This window comes from Homo sapiens, chromosome 2, assembly GCF_000001405.40.
Source record: "Homo sapiens chromosome 2, GRCh38.p14 Primary Assembly".
Taxonomy (NCBI): domain Eukaryota; kingdom Metazoa; phylum Chordata; class Mammalia; order Primates; family Hominidae; genus Homo; species Homo sapiens.
In genome coordinates this window covers 100,554,808-100,577,331 of record NC_000002.12, presented here as the reverse complement: position 1 = coordinate 100,577,331, position 22,524 = coordinate 100,554,808, and the positions used below count along the sequence as shown (strand labels likewise).

Genomic DNA, 22,524 nt, shown 5'->3' with positions numbered 1-22,524 from the left:
GTGGATCAGGAGTTTTGAGGTTGGGAGTTCGAGACCAGCCCGGCCAACATGATGAAACTCCGTCTCTGCTAAAAGTACAAAAATTAGATGGGCGTGATGGTGCACGTCTGTAATCCCAGCTCCTCAGGAGGCTGAGGCAGGAGAATTGCTTGAACCCGGGAGGTGGAGGTTGCAGTGAGCTGAGATTGTGCCACTGCACTCCAGCCTCAGCAACACAGAAAAGCTCCATCTCAAAAAAAAAAAAAAATTAGTTAACAGTCTGAGATAAACTATTTTAACAAGAAAACACATTTAACCAAATATGGCAGTAAACTGGAAACTTTCAGTTATTGCTTCAATAAGGGAATGTTTCACAAAAATTGTCTGTTTCTTCAATACTAACATTCTTTTGTCCTAGAGACCATTCCTGTAGTTTAATAATCTCACTGCTCTCTTTATAAAATAAAAATAAACAATGTATCTATAAGGCTTAGTCTGCAATTTTCCACTGTATAATTTATTCACATTTAAAACTGTATTTCTTTTTATAGTTATATGTCAAAAAATAGTGACTAGGTTTTATGGCTTACTTAAAATATAAATGAGGAAAACAGACATTTGCCATACAAATGGCTGGTTTTAATTTTTTTTAGAGGAAATACTATAATTTAAAAAAAAAAAGAGTTCCAAAATATTTAACAGAATCTCCAGCAATGATTATTTCCAAAATGTAAAGATTTGAAACATAATTTATACAAAACTAAAAACCACAAGGATTCATTCTTGCTTTTTCCTTTTTTAAAAAATCCAGACAATTTGTCACAAGAAAGTTCGGCATGTGATAGAAGCTGTAGCCTCAGTCACCCTCGGAATCGCTGTCCCTCTTCATGAGGACAGAGCGCCGCACTGAGGACAGCAACACGTCTTCAATCGGCTTCTTAGGGTTTTCCTCCAGGTCTGTCATAATTGCTCCAGATTCAGACAGTTTCCATTCCAACTCTATATGGTAAAGAAAAAGCAAATTGCCTAAGGCACTGTGCTGCAAAGGTTCCCTCGCCCTAAGTCCATCAACCTAGTTTTTTCTAAGTAGAAAATACAATTATCGAAATTTGGCCCAGCACAATGGCTCACGCCTGTAATCCCAACACTTTGGGAGGCTGAGGCAGGAGGATCACCTGAGCCTGGGAGGTAGAGGTTGCAGACATTTAAGATCACACCACTGCACTCCAGCCTGGGCAGCAGTGAGACTGTCTCAACAATAAAAATAAAAGTAAATAAAACATAAAAATTCACTGGGTACAGTGGTGGTGTGTGCTTATAATCCCAGCTGTTTGGGAGGCTGAAGTGGCAGGATCGCTTGAGCCCAGGAGTTCAAGGCTGCAGTGAACCATGATCATGTCACTGCACTCCAGCCTACACGACAGAGCGAGACCCTGTCTCAAAAATACAAAGAATAAACCTATCCTCTGATGACTACAATTTCCCAGGAAGGAAATCAGCATGAAAAATTTGAAGGAAATAATTTCCACAGACCTTCTGGCAATCTAATCATTAAATCCAATTTTAATAAACTCTTCAGCCTCATGTCCAGTATCTCAATCTATTGGGGTCAAAGAATAAATGTATGGTGATACCCTAGAACTTACACATTTGTTCCAACTAATCAAAAAAGCACCAGATAATAAAGAATCAGTAACTGAAGACTCAGCTCCAATACTTCACTCTTAAAATCAGCAAAATTCTTGTGGTCTGAGACCAAGTGAAGCAAAATCAAGTGATGTATTTGCCTACTTCAGAGAAGAGCCCAGGCAGAACCAAAGGACTACGTAAGAGATTCTACAACAAATGGCTTCGCTTAAAGGAACATCAAGGCAGAGAGTTCTGCTAACTGGACACATCGATTAAAATCTGAAAACCAGGCCGGGCGCGGTGGCACATGCCTGTAATCCCAGCACTTTGGGAGGCCAAGGTGGGCGGATCACGAAGTCTGGAGATCGAGACCATCCTGGCTAACACGGTGAAACCCCGTCTCTACTAAAAATACAAAAAATTAGCCAGGCATGGTGGCAGGTGCCTGTAGTCCCAGCTACTCGGGAGGCTGAGGCTGGAGAATGGTGTGAACGTGGGAGGCGGAGCTTGCAGTGAGCCGAGATCGCGCCATTGCACTCCAGCCTGGGCGACACAGCGAGACTGTCTCAAAATAAAAAAAATCTGAAAACCAATTTTACTGAAGTCTTATCTTAATCTACTTTTTTGGAGACAGGCTCTCACTCCATCACCCAGGCTAGAGTGCTATGGGTGCAATCATAGCTCACTGTAACCTTGAACTCCTGGGTTCAAATGATCCTCCCGCCCATCTCCCTAGCAGCTGAGACTACAGGTGTGCACCACCACACCTGGCTACTTTCTTTTTTGTAGACATGGGATCTCGCTATGTTGCCCAGGCTGGTCTCAAACTCCTGGCCTCATGCAATCCTCCAGCCTTAGCTTCCCAACATGCTAGGATTACAGGCTTCAGCCAACGTGCTCAGTTGAATTTTACTTATTAACTTAAAGTGTTCCATGAAACAGAGAATAGAATGGTGGTTATCAGGGGAGGAGTGGAAATGGGAGATGTTGGCCAAGGATACAAACTTTCAGTTATAAGATGGTAAGTTCTGAAGACCTAATGTAGAACATGGTAACTACAGTGAATAATAACGTATTGTATACTTGAAATTTGCTAGGAAAGTAGATCTTAAGGATTCTCACCACAGTGAGGGCAGCTATGTGAAATGATGGATGGTTAATTACTTGGATTGTGGTAATCATTTCACATTGTACCTCTATTAAATCTCCATGTTGTATATCTTAAATATATTCAATTGTTTTGGTCATCATACCTCAGTCATGCTGGGTAAAAAAAAAAAAAGTGTTCCACGAAGATGAGTAACACCAGTATTTTCGGCTCTAGGTACTTTGGTTGAATGTTATATAAATTCAACCTGTTTCTTAAAAAAAAAAAAAAACAAGACTTCAGATTCCTGACTCAAGAATTTATATCCAGCCAGATGTGGTGGCTCAGGCCTGTGATCCCAGAACTTTGGGAGGCTGAGGCAGGTGGATCACTTATCACTTGAGGTCAGGAGTTCACAACCAGCCTAGGCAACACGGTGAAACCGTCTCTACTAAAAATACAAAACTTAGCCAGGCATGGTGGCACATGCCTGTAGTCCCAGCTACTCAGGAGGCTGAGGCACGAGAATTGCTTGAACCCGGGAGGCTGAGGCTGGAGTGAGCCAAGATAGTGCTACTGCACTCCAGCCTGGGTGACAGAGCAAGACCCTGTCTCAAAAATTAAAAAAATATATATATCTCTCTCTATATATATATCTTTATATATCCACACATACGTACATAAGTGTTTAATGTTACTGTTCACTTACACAAAGCAATCGTTATATGTAAGTTCACTAGACTTCAAGACTTTTTTTTAGAAATAAAAACAATTGCACACTTCTCTCTCCCCTCATGGTACATTCAAAAAAGGTCAAAATAAGATGCAAACATGTATTTAGTTTGAAATGCTGTACGCCTTTGAACACTGGAATATGTAACTGATGTATCTCCTATATGTGTGTGTTTATGTATGTTTGTATATTTATACTTTCCCCAGCTGAATATCTTTTTTTTTTTTTTTTTGAGATAGAGTTTCGCTCGTTACCCAGGCTGGAGTGCAATGGCATGATCTTGGCTCACTGCAACCTCTGCCTCCCAGGTCAAGTGATTCTCCTGCCTCAGCCTCCGAGTAGCTGGAATTATAAGTGCCCGCCACCACGCCCAGCTAATTTTTTGTATTTTCAGTAGAGACAGGGTTTCACTATGTTGGCCAGGCTGGTTTCCAACTCCTGACCTCAGGCAATCCACCCGCCTTGGCCTCCCAAAGTGCTGGGATTACAGGCATGAGCCACCGCACCCGGCCGCCAGATGAGTATCTTAGTGGTACAGTATATAAAGTCATGTTTAAAAATGTCTTTCTGGTAAAGCATAGTTGGAAATATTATTTCAATAAAGAGATAAAGAGTTTCACTTGGCAAGAATGCCTCTGGGCTGAGGTTCTCCTTCACGTTCTGTGTGGGTATGTATTTTGATACCTCCATGTTTAACAGGTAGAAAGGAATTTAAAAACACAGCCGGGCGCGGTGGCTCACATCTGTAATCTCAGCACTTTGGGAGGCTGTGGCGGGCAGATCACGAGGTCAGGAGTTCAAGACCAGCCTGGCCAACATGGTGAAAACCTGTCCCTACTAAAAATACAAAAATTAGCCAAGCGTGGTGGTGGGCGCCTGTAATCCCAGCTACCTGAGACGCTGAGGCAGGAGAATTGCTTGAAACCAGAAGGTGGAGGTTCCAGTGAACCAAGATCGCACCACTGCACTCCAGCCTGAGCGAAAGAGCAAAACTCCATCTCAAAAAAACAAACAATCAAACAAAAACCACATCCTTCCGAGCTAACAGGCAGAATTAAATAAAATTTTAATTTAATTTAAAAGCTGGCCAGGCGCAGTGGCTCACGCCTGTAATCCCAGCACTTTGGGAGGCTGAGGCGGGTGGATCACCTGAGGTCAGGAGTTTGAGACCAGCCTGACCACATGGAGAAACCCTGTCTCTACTAAAAATACAAAAAAATTAGCCAGGCATGTTGGCACATGCCTGTAATCCCAGCTACTAGGGAGGCTGAGGCAGGAGAATCACTTGAACCTGGGGGGCAGAGGTTGCAGTGAGCCGAGATCACGTGATTGCACTCCAGCCTGGGCAAGAAGAGTGAAACTCTGTCTCAAAAAAAATAAATAAAAGCTACTAGCCGGGCGCAGTGGCTCACGTCTGTAATCCCAGCACTTTGGGAGGCTGAAGTGGGTAGATCACTTGAGGCCAGGAGTTTGAGACCAGCCTGGCCAACATGGTGAAACCCCGTCTCCACTAAAAATACAAAAATTAGCTGGGCGTGGTGGTAGGTGCCAGTAATCCCAGATACTTGGGAGGCAGAGGCAGGAGAATCACTTGAACCTGGGAGGCAGAAGTTGCAGTGAGGCAAGATCATACCATTGCACTCCAGCCTGGGTGACAGAGCAAGACTCTGTCTCAAAAAATAAATAACTAAGTAAATAAATGTAAAAGCTACTAACATACTCAACTGAGAATGTTTCTGTAGAAAAATACAAATACATACATTAACGTCTCCCTGTGTTCATGTGAATTAAAGCAAAAGTGAATGTTGTGATTTCAAGCTACAAAAACATCCAACTGTAGAGACAAAATATATTCCACACCAATATAAAAAATGTTTATATTTAAGTCTATCACGCCTTCCTTGAACTAAGAATCAGTAGAGCCCAGTTGTAACTGTTCCTGATTACGCAACTAAGATGAGAGATTAAACGTGCTTCCGTCCTCATACACAGGCAGAAGTGAACTTGACCCACCATCGTAACAGGAGTCCAGGAAATAGACACTCTCTCCAACAGAAATGCGCCTCCCATCTCTCACTGCCCCGCCTGTCTCCCAGAGCCCTTACCATCTCTTGTCAGGTTCATGCCGCCAAACACCAGAGGACCAATAAACTGAGCCTTGATATCTCCTTCCAGGTAAACAAATATCGTGGGCAGATTCCTATCAGGATAATTGGGTATGCAGGTTGTTGAAATGGCTTTGATAAATTTGACATCAGGAAACTTCCTGGCAAGTCCACTGAGGTGCTGATTTATCAGGGCACAGAGGGGAATTCTATAAAACACACATAGAAAACAGAAGCAATTATGATCCTACATTTATACAGAACAAAGCTCAATGACCCTTCTACCCTAAGTAAAACCTTGTAACAGTTTCACAAGTAATTCTGCTGCTAGCTAAGATGAATTAACATGTTTTTTTTGACATAGGGTCTTGTTTTCACCCAGGCTAAATGGAGTGAAGTGGTGTGATCTCGGCTCACAAGCAATGCTCCCACCTCAGCCCCCCAAGTAGCACTTTGGGAGGCCAAGGTGAGTGGATCATGAGGTCAGCAGTTCAAGACCAGCCTGGCCAAGATCATGAGGTCAGGAGTTCAAGACCAGCCTGGCCAAGATGGTGAAACCCCATCTCTACTAAAAATACAAAAATTAGCTGGGTGCAGTGGCAGGCGCCTGTAATCCCAGCTACTCGGGAGGTGTGATTACAGGCACACACCACCATGCCCAGCTGATTTTTTTTTTTTTTTTTTGTAAAGACAGGGTTTCACCACGTTGCCCAGGCTGCTCTTGAACTCTTGAGCTCGAGATCCGGCCGCAATGGCTTCCCAAAGTGCTGGGATTACAGGTATTACAGGTGTAAGCCACCATGCCCAGCTGAATTAACATTTCTTAAAAACTTCCTAATATGCTGAGGGAAAGTGAAGAACACAAATCCAAAGTCCAATTTATTTGACAAAACAAGTCAGAAAAACAGCTTCAATGTAAAAGATAAAATTGCTATACATTTCTTATAAGGTTGAATGAGAAAACGCTGAAGGTTTAGAAAGTATGAAATGTCAGAAAACGTTTTCTGCTTTAAAGAAATTCCTGGCCAGGTGCAGCGGCTAACGCCTGTAATCCCAGCACTTTGGGAGGCCAAGATGAGTGGATCATGAGGTCAGGAGTTCAAGACCAGCCTGGCCAAGATGGTGAAACCCCGTCTCTACTAAAAATACAAAAATCAGCTGAGTGCGGTGGCAGGCGCCTGTAATCCCAGCTACTCAGGAGCAGAGGCAGGAGAATCGCTTGAACCTGGGAGACGGAGGTTGCAGTGAGCCGAGATCATGCCACTGCACTCCAGCCTGGTCAATGGAGTGAGACTTTGTCTCAAACAAAAAAAAAAAAAAAAAAGAAATTCCTAAATAAGCACTGGACTCTACAGTTTAAGACAAGACTGGAGAGCTGAGAAAAATCAGAGGCCCTCAGTATCACACAGTTCAGGCAATTACTACTGTAAAGGCCAACCTTGCCATCTATGAGATAAATTCATTACATAGAATGTTGAAATGTCAGAGTTCCTGTAAAGGAATAAATAACTTAGGAATTCCTTTTCAAAAACAGAAAAGCATAGTCTTCATTGCTATACTTTAACAAAGGCATTCATATTAGTCACAAATTATTAACTTGAAAGTCTTAAGATAAAAAAATTAAGTAATAAGGTTTGGGCAAACCAGCAAAAAAAACACAAAAAACTCAGTACCAGAAAAATTTTTTCTGAGACAAAGTCTCGCTCTGTCGCCCAGGCTGGAGTGCAGTGGCGCAATCTCGGCTCACTGCAAGCTCCGCCTCCCGGGTTCATGCCATTCTCCCACCTCAGCCTCCCAAGTAGCTGGGACTATAGGCGCCCGCGACCACGCCCAGCTAATTTTGTTTTTGTATTTTTAGTAGAGACGGGGTTTCATCGTGTCAGCCAGGATGGTCTTGATCTCCTGACCTCATGATCCACCTGCCTCAGCCTCCCAAAGTGCTGGGATTACAGGTGTGAGCTACTGCGCCTGGCCCAGAAAAAAAAATTTCTTAACCCTCTGATATAGGTAACGCCTGAGATCCTGAAGACATAAATTCAAATTAACATTTGATAGATGGAGTGGAAGATCAGCTCACCCTTGTTTGTAAAGGTGCAAGATGACCCACAAGCCCTCGCCAGCTTTGGTAACTTCTTGAACATAATCCTTCCCTGAGATCTCCAAAACTTCTCCGAATTTATTCTTCAGTTTAGTTGCTTTCCACTCAGCCAGTCTCCGCCGTCTGCACAAAACAAGGAGAGAAACATCTTACGTCACAAACACGTGTACACACACATCGTCTAGAAGGCAATCCTTGTAAAAGCCCAGGTTTATTTATTGGTCTTATGGCAAAAATCTAAGATCAGTTTGCTAAAATTCACAATATTATTTAATTGCAGTCGCTCCTAGATGTTTCAGCTGAAAATTAATTTTTTGAAGGACACACATTTCATTTTATTTTTTGAGACAGAGTTTGGCTCTGTCACACAGGCTGGAGTGCAGTGGCACAGTCTCAGCTCACTGCAACCTCCACTTCCAGGGCTCCTGAGTAGCTGGAACTATAGCCGTTCACCACCACACCCAGCTAGTTTTTGTATTATTTATAGAGACGGGGTTTCACAGGCTGGTCTCAAACTTCTGAGCTCAAGCGATCTGCCTGCCTCAGCCTCCCAAAGTGTTGGGACTACAGGTATGAGTCACCATGCTCAGCCCACACATTTTATTGCCACGCCAAAAAAAAAACCAAAACAAAACAAACAACAACAAAAAAACAAACAGCCCCTCTGGGTGGCGCTTACCTGTACATTTCAATAGCACGTTCATCCTCCTCATTAAACTCGTCTTCATGATCCTCCAGCTCTTCCAAAGTCATATCTTCATATGTTTTCACTGAATTTGGTTACATTGGCAAAAAGCAAAAATTTAAAAAGATGAACGAACATGTATTTTTCTTTTTTCCCCTCTCTTTTCTCCTAAAGATATGCACACAACACCAGATCCTTAGCCTACCTAAACAAAAATTACTTAAGGCACCACACTACATTAGAAGCTGAGAGGCCAGGCATGGTGGCTCACACCTGTAATCCCAATTTATTGACTGACAACATTTTACCCAAGCCCTCAGATCCTCCTCCCCTCTCTTCTCCTATTCCGCCTCACCCTGCCCCGCTTATTTTCCTTTTTTTGGAGACAGAGTTTCACTCTTGTCATCCAGGCTGGAGTGCAATGGTGCGATCTTGACTCACTGAGAACCTCCGCCTCCCAGATTCAAGCAATTCTCCTGCCTCAGCCTCCTGAGTAGCTGGGATTACAGGCGTGTGCCACCACACCCAGCTAATTTTTGTATCATTAATAGAGACAGGGTTTCACCATGTTGGCCAAGCTGGTCTTGAACCTTCTGACCTCAAGTGATCTGCCCATCTCAAAGTGCTGGGATTACAGGAGTGAGCCAGCCGCCCTACTGTTGAACCCTTTGCTGATTAAAATTCCCCAGGCTCAAACCTTTGACTACTTTTCTTCTTTATCCACACCCACTCCCTCGGTGATTGCATCTAATCTCATGGCTTTCAGTGCTATCAATATGCTGACAACTCCCAAAGTATAGGCCTCCAGCCCAGACTTCTCTAATGTAGAGAAAAACATACCCAAGGGCCCTCTTAATGTGGCTATTTGTCTAATAGGGATCTCCAAGTTAATGCATCCCTTGGCTGGGTGCAGTGGCTCACGCCTATAATCCCAGCTCTTTGGGAGGCTGAGGTGGGCGGATCACTAGAGGTCAGGAGTTTGAGACCAGCCTGGCCAACATGGTGAAACCTCATCGCTACAAAAAATTACCTAGGCGTGGTGGCACATGTCTGTAATCCCAGCTACTCGGGAGGCTGACGCAGGAGAATCGCTTGAACCTGGGAGGCGGAGGTTGCAGTGAGCCAAGATTGCGCCACTGCAGTCCAGCCTGGGTAAGAGAGCGAGACTCCATCTCAAAAAAAAAACAAAAAAGAGAAAATGTCACTCTTCTGTTTAAACATCCAAAAGCTTCCTGCCTCATTAGGTGTAAAGGCCAAGGTCCTTACTAGAAGCTTCTGGGTCTGCTGAGGCTGCTCTGAACTCTCTCCCCCAGCGCCTCCAGCTCCTCAGGGATTCCCAGCCATGCCAGGGCCCATATTTCACTCGCTCACGTCACCCCCTTCAGGAATACCCAGATGTCTTCTTCACCTCCTTCAGGTCTCAACAACTCCCTCAGGTCTATTCAAATGTGTTCTTCAGCTCCTTCAGGTCTTTACCCAAATGCCAGCTTCACCTCCTTCAGGTCCATGCAAATGTCATCTCAGTGAGGCCCTCTCTGAGCCTGCTTCTCCTCCAACCCTTTCTAGTCCCTTTTACTGCCTTATTTTCTTTATTGTTTATTGTCTGTCTCCCCCACTTGAATGTTGGTTCTCTGAGGGCAGAGAATTGTCTCTGGCTTATGCATAGCTAAATCCCCAACCCCAGAAAAGCACCTGACAATGATAATCATGCAGTAAGCACTCGCTGGATACTTTCTAATAAATCCTTCTCTAAATTAGCTCTAATGTGTCAACAGAGGACAAAAGTACTAGTCCCTGGGACCAGTGCTTCTCAAACTATGACACGCATCAGAATCCTTTAAGGCACTTGTTTAAAATGCAGATTCCTGGGCCTCATTCCAGAGACTGCTTCAGTAAACACTAGGTGGGTGGGGTTACCAGCACTCCAAGGGACTCCAATTCAGACAGTACAACTGCCTTTGAGAAAACCCCCCTCAGACTCCCACACATTGCAAACATCTTATGCCTCCCCAAATGAAGCAATTTTTAGTTAATATCCTCAATGAAACCACAGAAAATAAAGTATATGCTCAGGAAAATACAAGTACTAAAAACCTTGAACAAATTTCCATGACATTATCAAAGGGAATCACAGACCAGAAAGCAGAAAGAAGTATTTTCTTCAGTGCTCATGTGACATGGACAAGGACTTGTGGGACATATCTGAAGTCCCCTAAGTCTATGGCTCAGGAAGGTGAAGGTGAGAGACGCCCTGTGTTTTGTCTGAGGTCCCACAGACACAGAGTGTCCATGCTGGCACTCCAACCTGTCTCCTGGCAGGGCAGTCAGAGGCTTAGGGAGCCATCTCCTAACCCAGACAGGTGCAGAGGAAAGCGAGTGAACTCACCCACTGACTGCTGGAGGATGCGCTGCTCCTCTTCTGCCTCCTCTTCCAATTCTTTCAGACTTTCCTTGGGGGGTAAGATACCCTTTTTGCGTAAGATGTCATTCCATTCAGTGTCTGCGTTGGGGTCCTAGAAGAGCGGGACCAAGGTTACCATGAGTGCTAAGTCTAGTATGTAGGGTGCCACGTTGGGCAAGGGGCCAAATGGGAAAAGTGACAGGAAGGGAGGAATGCACACCAGTCTGTGAACTATTTCTGAGAAAGTGTCAAAAGATCCATAGCCCCCGTTTTGTTTTTCCTGTCTACCCCTCCCTGAATGGAGGAGCTATTCTTGGGGTAAAAATTAGGATAGGGAGTGCAGATCAGTATCAATACGGATACCAAGGCTCTGACTTGGCATGTGTTCAATATTTTTAATAATGACTGAGAGTGCCGGGCACAGTGGCTCACGCCTGTAATCCCAGCACTTTGGGAGGCTGAGGCAGGCGGATCACGAGGTCAGGAGATAGAGACCATCCTGACTAACACGGTGAAACCCCGTCTCTACTGAAAATACAAAAAATTAGCCGAGCGTGGTGGCGGGCACCTGTAGTCCCAGCTACTTGGGAGGCTGAGGCAGGAGAATGGCATAAACCCGGGAGGCGGAGCTTGCAGTGAGCCGAGATCGTGCCACTGCACTCCAGCCTGGGCGACAGAGCAAGACACAGTCTCAAAATAATAATAATAATAATGACTGAGTGATTCATTCAACAGATAAAACTGAAGTATCTACCACATGTAAATTATTGTAGGCAATGGGGAAGAGTGGTGAATGCGAGAGTCACCTGTGTTACAGACAAGAGGAAGAGACAGGCAACAAACAAGTATATATACAAACTATACATAGAGAGATAAAATTGTGGCAAGTGCAATGACAAACAGGCTGCCATTTTAGAGAATTACCCAGGACCCACATTCCACAGAGTAGATAGGGATGTTCCCTACAGAGGAGGTGACATTCCGTCTGAGGGTGGAAAGCAATCTGTGATAGGAGTCTGGGGGCTTACAAATAATCTTCCAGGCTGGGCACGGTGGCTCACGCCTGTAATCCCAGCACTTTGGGAGGCAGAGGTGGGTGGATCACAAGGTCAGGAGATCGAGAGCATCCTGGCTAACATGATGAAACCCCGTCTTTACTAAAAACACAAAAAATTAGCCGGGCGTGGTGGCGGGCGCCTGTAGTCCCAGCTACTCGGGAGGCTGAGGCAGGAGAGTGGCAGGAACCCGGGAGGTGGAGCTTGCAGTGAGCCGAGATCGAGCCGCTGCACTCCAGCCTGGGCGACAGAGCTAGACTCTGTCTCAAAAAAAAAAAAAAAAATCTTCCAGGCTGGGTGGAGTGGCTCACGCCTGTAATTCCAGCTCTTTGGGAGGCCAAGGCAGGTGGAGCATCTGAGGTCAGGAGTTAAAAGACCAGACTGGCCAGTATAGTGAAACCCCATCTCCACTAAAAACACAAAAATTAGCCAGGTGCACGCCCGTAATCAAGAAAATAATCTTCCAGGCAGAGCGGCCTGCGGCATGCATACTGCCCAAGAGCAAAGAGACTGTGACATTTTGAGGATCTCAGGCTGCAGATGAGGCTTGGCTGACAGAATTCTCTAATGGCCAAACCTGAGAGGAAAAGCTGAGACGTCTCAGAGTAGCTCATAAAATACAGGGCACTCTAAGCCCTTTTTCTTGTACCTTGTCCCTGAATCCTCACAAGCCTAGGAGAGGCACGGCATTTAGAGGCACTGCCATGCTAGAACGGCTGGCCAAATCAGCCAGCATCAAAATCACAAAGGATCATTGTCACAAAGACTGATGTAAAAGTGGCTCTTAGATCTAGAACCCAGCTGCCCAAGCACCGGTTTGCATGGTGTGGCAAGAACACTGCTAATGGAGCTCAGGCTTGCTTTGGAATATGAAATCAGGAGCACTGTGAAAAGGGCACCGGGATAATCGGTCTCCAACCCCAACCCTGTGTAACAGTTCTGAGATACATCAAAAGAAAAATGAGGCCGGGCGCGGTGGCTCATGCCGATAATCCCAGCACTTTGGAAGGCCTAGGCGGGCAGATCACCAGGTCAGGAGATCGAGACAATTCTGGCTAACATGGTGAAACCTTGTCTCTACTAAAAATACAAAAAATTACCCGGGAGTGGTGACGGGCGCCTGTAGTCCCAGCTACTCAGGAGGCTGAGGCAGGAGAATGGCGTGAACTGGAGAGGCGGAGCTTGCAGTGAGCCGAGGTCGCGCCACTGCACTCCAGCCTGGGCGACAGAGCAAGACTCTGTCTCAAAAAGAAACAAACAAACAAACAAACAAAAAGAGCAGAATCCTTTCTACAGGGTGGTCAGGGAAGGCCTCAAGGGACCTGAAGGACAGGGAATGCAAAGGAGGCCAGGGCAGCCCTCAAGCTACCACTTCACCATTTAAGAGTGTCTAGGCCAGGTGCGGTGGCTCATCCTGTAATCCCAACACTTTGGGAGGCTGAGGCTGGGCAACATAGGGAGACCCCATCTGCACAAAAAATTAGCCCAGAGTGGTGGGTGCACGCCTGTGGTCCCAGCTACTCCGGAGGCTGACAAGGGAGGATGGCTTAGCCCCGGGAGGTCGAGGTTGCAGTGAGCTGTGACAGAGCCACTGCACTCCAGCCTGGGCAACAGAGCAAGACCCGGTCTCAAAAAAAAAAAAAACAGTGTCTGGCTCCTGGCAGACACGCCCTCCCCTCCAGCCCCTAATGCCTCCCTCCCCAGCAAAACCCGCACCCTCTCCTCTCCATCTGCCACTAAGCAGAGATTAGAATTTCTGACCACTGCGGGATCTTTGGACAGTGACAAAATTTAGTTGGCATAGGTTTTCACCCACAATAGTGCCCATTTCCATGGTGTTTTCATTCATTCTCCTTAGGCTTTAACCAAATTCCGCTAGTAAATTGCAGCTACAGAAAAATAATTTATTTTACCTATTTTAATAAAAAAAAAAAAAAGGACGAAACAGAGGGACCCTCGCGGGGAGCTCTGGAACCCGAGCGGTCAGATAGGGAACACGCCCCAAGCGGATCCCAGGGCTCGGGGGAAGAGGGTGTAACTAAGCCCTCACCTGGCTCTCAGTGGAGCCAGGAACACCGGCTGTGGCGCTGCTTTACGTGCGGAAGACCCCAGGCCGGACCCTCCGCTTCCTAACACCTCTGCCCAGGTGTGCCTTAGGGGAGTTCAGGAGAGGAGGTAACTTTTGTTAGGCGGGATCCGGCAAGACCTTCACAGGCCCGGGTGGGTAGAGACCGCGAGAAGACATAGTCCCGGAGGACGAGGTTTGGGGGACCCGGCACACCGAGGCGGGGACGCCCAGGCCGTGGGTCCTGGTGGGACCACGCCCGCCTCCCGCACTGCGCCTGCGCAGGGCCTGGACGCGCCGGGCCTCCCTCGTGCCTGCGGCGCCGGAGCTTCCCCCAGGGCGGGCGTCCACTGCCCGCCCGGGCCTAACGAGACAAAGGAACGGGCCGCAGCCCCCAGACCCGAGACCCGTCCTAGCTCACCTGCATCTTGTTTCCAGTTCAGTTGCTCAAACCAGCTGTGCCGCAGCGCCCCCGCCCCTCAGCTCTCTTTTGTGCACGCGCACAGCGCCGCCACGCCTCTTCCCCCAGCCCAGCCTTCGCCCCGCCCAGGGACGAGCGGCGGGGAGTAAGGGCGGAAGCAACAGCCTTGAGTCTGCGCCTGCTCTTCAAGGAACTGGCACAGAAGCGTTCGCATGCGCCAGATAGGATCTGCCTACTGTCCTGCTCGGAGTGCACTTGACCTGGTTCTAATTCTGGTGGCTGCCTTATTAGGGCTGGTCTTCAGCGGAGGAGGGGTGGGGCTGGGTGGAGGAGGAGCCCGGGGCCGTGTGCCTTTTCCAGCTGCCGGCCCAAACCTGTAAAGACGTCTCGCTCTGACTAGCCTAACAAGTCAGAAATAGAAAATTGCCTCTAGGCCGGGCGCGGTGGCACACGCCTGTGATCCCAGGCCGAGGCGGGCGGATCACTTGAGGTCAGGAGTTCGAGATCAGCCTGGCCAACATGGTGAAACCCCGTCTCTACTAAAAATACAAAAAAATTAGCCGGGCGTAGTGGTGGTTGCCTGTAATCCCAGCTACTCTGGAGGCTGAGGCAGAAGAATTGCTTGAACGGGGGAGGCGGAGCTTGCAGTGAGCTGAGATCTCTCCACTGCACTCCAGCCTGGGTTACAGAGCGAGACTCCGTCTTAAATAAATAAATAAATAAAAATGATGCAGGGTCTTCTGGAATTCACCCACGATCACTTCAGCCTTGGAAAAGGCAACTCATTAATAAGACATTGAGAGCCTGCTGTGTACCAGGCACCATTCTAGGCTCTGCAGATGCAGCAGTGAGCAAAACACTAAAACAAAGGTGAAAGTCATCTGCCGTGCCTGAGTATCAGGAGACCCATGTATGCAGGCACACAGGCACTGAGCAAAAAGCAGCAATCTGACTTGTAAAATGCAGGTATTGGGCTCCAGAGCTTCTGCCCAGGCACACTCCAAGTTTAAGAGAGCAATATTCCTACCTGGTATGGAAGGAAGCATCTTGCACACGTGGGCTAACTTGCTGCCTCCTGGCAACTAAGCGGACACAGAGAGTAGAGACCCACACACCTGTGAGATAGGCGCAGGGCTTCCAACCGTGGCTATGCATTAGAATCACCTGGAAGCCCTCAAAAACTAGGAATGTCCTGGGGCTCCATCCCCAGACAAATTAAATCCTTGGAAATGAGGCCTAGCACAGATACTTTCTTAAAGATCCTCAGGTGATGCTAAAGTGCACAGTCGTTGATATAGAGTGAATCAAATGATTGCTTGAGAGCAAGGAGTTTTTATTTAATTTATAAGGATCCTTAAGATTTTTCTCACTCATTTCAACTGAATTACAGGCCCTTTTAGGGATTTATTAATGTATCTGGCAGCACAATGTTTGTTAATGAATTTTCCTTGGGTCTTACCACCAAAATCAGGACTGGAACTAACTTTGAGTTTGATCCTGTGCTTCTTGCTCAGTCCTGCACAGCAACAGAGCAGGTGGTGTTTTGTCCTTTCCTCATCCCCAGCCTTTGCTGTTCCCTGAGGCCTGTTTTCCAGGACTCAGCTATTCTACAGTTGCTCTTCCCCACATGATCCGGTCAGAGGCATTCTAACCAAAGCCAATCCATCCTGAATAGGGGATGGGGAAAAGGAGGCTGAGACCTACTGGGTTGTATTCCCAGAAGGTTACGCATGCTTAGTCACAGAATATTTACCAAACAGACCTAAGACAACAGACCCAGGAAATGGCCTGGTGTCCTGAAAGCTTTCTTTTTTCTTTCTTTTTTTTGAGATGGAGTTTCACTCTTGTTGCCCAAGCTGGAGTGCAATGGCGTGATCTCGGCTCACTGCAATTTCCACCTCCTGGGTTCAAGCGATTCTCCTGCCTCAGCTTCCGAATAGCTGGGATTACAGGTGCGCGCCACCACGCCTGGCTAATTTTTTTTTTTTGTATTTGTAGTAGAGACGGGGTTTCACTGTGTTAGCCAGGCTGGTCTCGAACTCCTGACCTCAGGTGATCCACCTGCCTTGGCCTCCCAAAGTGCTGGGATTAAAGGTGTGAGCCACCGCACCTGGCCTTGTTTTGTTTTTTTGAGAGTCTCTCTTTGTTCCCCACCCTGGAGTGCAATGGCAAGATCTCAGCTCACTGCAGCCTCCCCCTCCTGGGTTCAAGTGATTCTCCTGCCTCAGCCTCCCAAGTACGTGGGATTACAGGCATGCACCACCACGCCGGGCTAAGTTTTGTATTTTTAGTAGAGACAGGGTTTCGCCATTTTGGTCAGGCTGGTCTCGAACTCCTGAGCTCCTCATCCCAAAGTGCTGGGATTACAGGCGTGAGCCAGAGTGCTGGGATTACAGGTGTGAGCTACCACGCCCAGCCAAGAACAAAAGCATTCTTAAAGTTTTGTTTTAACAATAATATAGATTATTGGGAAAGACAGTAGTTATGAAATCTGGCCCAATAGTCCCACAGACAGTTGTTTTTGGATAAACATAGACATTGACCCTTCTGCTGTTAAAGCTTGAAACTTGTATCTGTTTAATCTGAGTTTCTTCCTTAGGAAAGGACCTTCAGGCCTCTCAGAAAAAGTATCAAAGAACTGAAACTCAACAGATGACCTCACCAGATGCATCCTTGCCCTTCCCTCTTCTTGTTTTCTTACACCATGTTACATTTCTTCCCTGCTATATAAACCCCTAGTTTTAGTCAGTCGGGGAGATGGATTTGAGACTGATCTCCTGTCTCGTCTCCTTGTCTCCTCGGCTGCAGCACCCAATTAAAGGCTTCTTCCTTGGGAATACTTGTCATCCCAGTGATTGGCTTTCTTTTTTTTTTTTTTTTTTTTTTTTTCCGAGACAGAGTCTCGCTCTGTCACCCAGGCTGGAGTGCAGTGGCGCAGTCTCGGCTCACTGCAAGCTCCGCCTCCCGGGTTCAAATGATTCTCCTGCCTCAGCCTCCCGAGTAGCTGGGACTACAGGCGCCTGCCACCACGCCCGGCTAATTTTTTGTATTTTTAGTAGAGGCAGGGTTTCACTGTGTTAGCCAGGATGGTCTTGATTTCCTGACCTCGTGATCTGCCAGCCTCAGCCTCCCAAAGTGCTGGGATTACAGGCGTGAGCCACCACGCCCAGCCCCATCCCTCTTGCTTTTGTCAAAATTATTCTTTTGTTATTCTTTCCACCTGTGCTCCAGATCCTCTCACCTCCCTCAGGGACTTCTTTCATCTTTCCATCCTTCTTGGCTGTGGAGAAAATAATTACAGCTTATGAGAAAAGATCAGAGATATACGAATTAGAAAAAATAAACTATTTCTATTTGTGGATGATATAGCATCCTGGAAAACTCAGCGGAACCGAGTCTTAAATTCATACTAACAATATGATAATTCAGTATAGGAGCAGGATATAAAATTAACACAAAAATAGTCTTCATCCGTGTTTACAATAACAAACTACAAGACAAAATGGACTCCAATTACAATAACAACAGAAAAGAAAAAGCTCTTGGAAACAAAGAAGTAGGCAAAACCTGCATTAGTTAAATTTAAAAACTTTTCTGAAGATACAAAAGTAGACTAGAACAAATGGACAAACATCCTTTATTTTTGGATAGTATGACTCAACATCATAGAGATATCAATTTTCTCCAAGTCAATATGTAAAATTTAACACGATGTCAAAAATCCAACAAATTATTTTTTGAGGCTAGGCAGCTTGACTCCAAAATTTTTATCAAGAATAGCACAAGGCAGAAGGGAGAGCTAGCCCTACTAAACCTTAAAACAATGTGGTGTTAGTACATAAATAGACAAAGAGATCAAGAGAGCAGCACAGCAAGTTCAGAACAAGCCCAGAAATAGAGCCCAGTACATATAAACATTAGTGTATGCTTAGACGAGACGGTATCTCAATCTGCTGGGATGGACTTTAAATAAATGGTGTTCGGACAACTGGATAACCATTTGGAAATAGATAAAATTGGATACATACTTCACAGTGTATATCAGAATAAAAAGTAAAAACTAAAAGTACTAGGAGAACACATGGCATAATTTCTTTATAACCTAAAAATGGAAAAAAACTTTGATTACTAAAAGTCTAAAAGAAATCAAATTAAAACAATGATTCTACTACTTAGTTTTTTTGTATAGAAATAATGTATATAAGCACGCTGCCTTTTGTGTAAAATAAAAGGTGAAATAAAATACATTTATGTCAGCCGGGCGCAGTGGCTCATGCCTGTAATCCCAACACTTTGGGAGGCCAAGGAAGCTGGATCACATGAGGTCAGGAGTTCAAGACCAGCCTGACCAACATGGTGAAACCCTGTCTCTACTAAAAATATAAAAAATTAGCCTGGCGTGGTGGCACATGCCTGTAATCCCAGCTACTGGGGAGGCTGAGGCAGGAGAATCATTTGAACCCAGGAGGTAGAGGTTGCAATGAGTCGATACTGCACCACTGCACTTGGGCCTGGGAGACAGAGCGAGACCCAGTCTCAAAAAAAAAAAAAAAAAAAAAAAACATTTATGTGTATATTCATATTTGCTTAATTTTATAAAAAGGATAATAGGAAAAGGAAACCAGGAATTTTTGGAAATGGTTAACTATTTGAGGAGGGAGCTGATGAAGTGGTGAAGACAGAGATAGAAATGAGATACTTCTGATAAACTTTTATTTAGGAGCAAATAGACTTCAAGCACTTTGAATCCTGAATGCTGCTGTAGTTCAGTTGTTTGACCCCCAAACCTCATGTTGAATTTTGATCCTCAGTGTTGAAGATGGGGCCTAATGGGAGATGTTTGGGTAATAGGGCAGATTCTTCATGAATGGCTTAATGCAGTTCCCGTGGGAATGAGTGAGTTCTCCATCCATTAGTTTGCAAGACAGCTGATTGTTAAAAAAAGCCTAGCACCTCCGTCCTCTCTCTCTTTCTTCTGTGCTTTTGCCACGTGATCTCTGCACACACTAGCTCCCCTTCACCTTCCACGATGAGTGGAAGCAGCCTGAGGCTTCACCAGAAGCAAATGCTGGTGCCATGCTTCTTGTACAGCCTGCAGAACTGTGAGCCAAGTAAACCTCTTTCCTTTACAAATTACTCAGCCTCAGGTATTCATTTGCAGCAACGCTAACAGACTAAGACAAATGCCCTCTTTAAGAATACAAAATTGGGACTGAAAAACTAGGCATGAATGTGAATATTTAGAATATTCTTCTAGAACTACCCAAATACTTCATCGAAACAGAGCTCCAAAGATTATATTCATATCCCATTATATTCTCTGGCCCTGAAACTTCATGTCACATCACTGAATGAGTGGCTGGTAGTGGTATTCTTGGAAGTCATTTCTGCCCTGAGATGGTCAGCAATAATCATGCATGGAGACAACTGCAAACCACACAAATACTTATCAGTAAATATAGCCTCAATTCAGCTTTCCCTTAGCCATAGTGATTTCCTGTTAATTGGAGCCCACTTTATTATTTGTAGCTAATTTCCACCAATCAACCTTTTTTTTGGTGTGTGTGCAAAGCTTTGGGATGGCTTTTACCAGATGTTGATTTTTTTCTCCTTACCTCTGGCAGTGTCTGTAACAATGTCAACTTTTCTTGATATGTTTGCACACATTTGCTCCCTGCAGAGACGGAAGACCTGGGTTTGGCCTGTCTGCCCTCCATACAGTGCCTGCTTGTTCCCCAGTCCCTTCTGGATTAGGTGTTTATGATCTCTCACAAAAGATAAATGGGTTTAATAAAACAGAGAGGAAGACAAATTCTAAAGTTATATACAATGTATGGATTTCTTAACAAGTACTAGAAATATGTTTCAACTTAGCTCAAGCACTCATAGTCATGTGACTCACGCCTAGACTTACATAGGACTCCTTCTATGCACAACTGCGTAAGACGTTACCCTTCCTTTACAAGAGCAATTTTCTAAGCAAAATACCTGGTATTAATGACCTTGTGCAAATTGCTGGAAAAGCTGCTGCAGCTGGTGTTGAAGTTTGATGACTGTAAGTCTTTGCCCTTATGGGATCTTGGACATAGAAATGATGTTATTAGCTCACAGTTCCTTCTCCTCCTTAAGGGGAACAGGCAAATAGAATAACACAACAAGCGATGTCAAAATTTCATTTCCTTCTAAGATAAAAGGCCTGTATGTAAAGATTCAGCTGAGTGGCAGTGGCTAAAAGAGCAATTTCAATGAGCTATCATTAAATGTGGGATTCCATGGCTACTGCCAAATACACTGGAATTCCATTTTTCAAATGCGATTTATGTTTGATCTTTAGACAACCATCTTCCCAAGATTTACTTGTGTGTAATTTCTCAGTGAAAAACTTCTCAGTGAAAAGGAAACTCCTTTCCCCTTCCTTTTGTCGAATTGTCTCTCATCCCTGATTTACTTGTATTAAAAAAAAGGAATTGGAAAGAGTGTGTGCTGGTGTGTTATTTAGCTGAGTTCTTGGCTGCTGGCTTCTATCCGTTTTCAGACTAGCTGAAAATTAAGATGATTAAGAGATGGCTGAAGGTACAACTAGATGCTAAAATAGTGTCTACAATAAAAACATCTGGAAGGTTGTAGAACTTTTAGGAGTGTTGAACCCAGTGAGGCAAACACTGAAATAAATGTCTATGGGAAGGTTTGGTAACCCATGATTATGGGCAGAGCTATTTTCCTAGAAAAAGTTTTTATTTTTTTATTTTTTTGAGACAGAGACTTGCTCTGTCACCCAGGCTAGAGTGCAGTGGCACGATCTCACCTCACTGCAACCTCCCCCTCCTGGGTTCAAGTGATTCTCCTGCCTCAGCCTCTTTAGTAGCTGGGATTACAGGCATGCACCACCACGCCCAGCTAATTTTTTGTAGAGATGGGCTTCACTATGTTGGCCAGGCTGGTCTCAAACTCCTGGCCTCAAGTGATATGCCTGCCTCAGCCTCCCAAAGTGCTGGGATTACAGGCGTGAGCCACCACACCCAGCCTGTTTTCACAGAAAGTTAATTGGCTATTGAAATTCAGCAGCACTGGCTGGGTGCGGCGGCTCACATCTATAATCCCAGCACCTTGGGAGGCCGAGGTGGGTGGATCATGGGGTTAGGAGTTCAAGACCAGCCTGGCCAACATAGTGCAACCCCGTCTCTACTAAAAATACAAAAGTTAGCCGGGTGTGGTGGCGAGTGCCTGTAGTCCCAGCTACTCGGGAGTCTGAGGCAGGAGAATCACTTGAACCCGGGAGGTGGAGATTGCAGTGAGCCAAGATCACGCCACTGCACTCCAGCTTGGGCAACAGAATGAGACTCTGTCTCAAAATGAAAAAAATAAATAAATAAATAAAAGAAAGAATTCAGCAACAATTTTCTAGGAAAAGAAACAAAATGAAAATACAGTACAGCTTTTGATTTTAAGAGCAGTTCACTATGTAGGCTTTTGTAGCTTTCATAAGGAGTGGTTCACCAACCTTGGTGCATGTAAAAATTACTTAAGGAGTGTTAAAAATGTAGATTCCAAGTCCTTTTCCCAGAGTTTCTGATTCTGCAGGTTGCTGGGGTACAGCCCAGCAACCTGCCTCTTGGATAACTATTTCAGGTGATTCAGGTATTGGTGGTCTTTAGACCACATTATGTTTAATACTACTTCGATGTTTCACTGAAATTCTATTTGATCTTTTAAAAATAGTCCAGACTATCGTAAGCATTTTCCATGTCATTATATAACGTCAAGTAGAAAAAAGCAGGTATAAGTAGGAGATACGATATAGTATTACTACAACACCTAAAACAGTGTCTCCTTCAAATGAAATCAGTATACAAAACATTACCTCACTTGTGTCAGATTTGTGGTGGACAGTCATGGACCCATTTGTTCTCCTTCCCTATTTCCAACCAGCAGAAATTTACTAGGGGACTGAGACCCACAAACTAATTATTGCCACTTCCCTCCTCGCTGGCCTCCTGCGAGGTTCTGATTCTGGGAAGCAGGGTGAGAGGAGTGGAGGCGGGGAGGCGAGGCACTTCCTGTTTCTGAATTTTGTGGGCACCCCTCCCTCCAGCAGCAGCAGCACAGAGAGGGCCCCAAGCATCCTTTCTCATGCCCAGCAGCGCCTCTCCATGGTTGCGGGACCAGCCTAGTGCCCCACCTTGGCTGTCCTAATACTCCTTAGAGCCCACCCTACAGTAAGCAAACTTCCAGGTCATTCCAGATTCTTGGAACACCATCCCTTCCC

The 22,524-nt window shown here is 45.4% G+C and overlaps 1 protein-coding gene across 2 annotated transcripts, besides 2 other annotated features; it reads right to left on the bottom strand.

Moving 5' to 3' along the window:
- Positions 1 to 592: 592 nt before the first annotated feature.
- PDCL3 (phosducin like 3) lies at positions 593 to 14,339 on the bottom strand. Of its 2 annotated transcripts, none has more exons than NM_024065.5 (6): positions 14,259 to 14,339; positions 10,703 to 10,829; positions 8,311 to 8,401; positions 7,611 to 7,754; positions 5,534 to 5,742; positions 593 to 978 (listed from the first exon to the last, which is right to left on the bottom strand). In NM_024065.5, the coding sequence occupies exons 1-6, from the start codon at positions 14,262 to 14,264 to the stop codon at positions 836 to 838; spliced, it is 720 nt and encodes a 239-aa protein (NP_076970.1). In that variant the 5' UTR covers positions 14,265 to 14,339; the 3' UTR covers positions 593 to 835. The 2 variants fall into 2 exon arrangements, with proteins under 2 accessions (NP_076970.1, XP_016860379.1); XM_017004890.2 differs by lacking the exon at positions 14,259 to 14,339 and adding an exon at positions 13,823 to 14,027.
- Positions 14,013 to 14,352: a silencer, noted in NCBI's record as "silent region_11816". NCBI's record gives its function as "represses an Ori minimal core promoter by ATAC-STARR-seq in GM12878 lymphoblastoid cells {active_cell/tissue: GM12878}" and the evidence as "EXISTENCE:reporter gene assay evidence [ECO:0000049][PMID:35858748]".
- Positions 14,798 to 15,594: an enhancer, noted in NCBI's record as "H3K27ac hESC enhancer chr2:101178200-101178996 (GRCh37/hg19 assembly coordinates)". NCBI's record gives its function as "activates a minimal SCP1, AML or CMV promoter by ChIP-STARR-seq in naive H9 embryonic stem cells {active_cell/tissue: H9 hESC(naive)}" and the evidence as "EXISTENCE:reporter gene assay evidence [ECO:0000049][PMID:30033119]".

Coding starts and splice junctions, on each gene's coding strand:
- PDCL3 (NM_024065.5), bottom strand. Junction 8,402..10,702: donor CATCCTCCAGCAGTCAGTGG/GTGAGTTCACTC, acceptor AACCAAATTCAG/TGAAAACATATGAAGATATG. Junction 7,755..8,310: donor CGTGCTATTGAAATGTACAG/GTAAGCGCCACC, acceptor TGTTTTGTGCAG/ACGGCGGAGACTGGCTGAGT.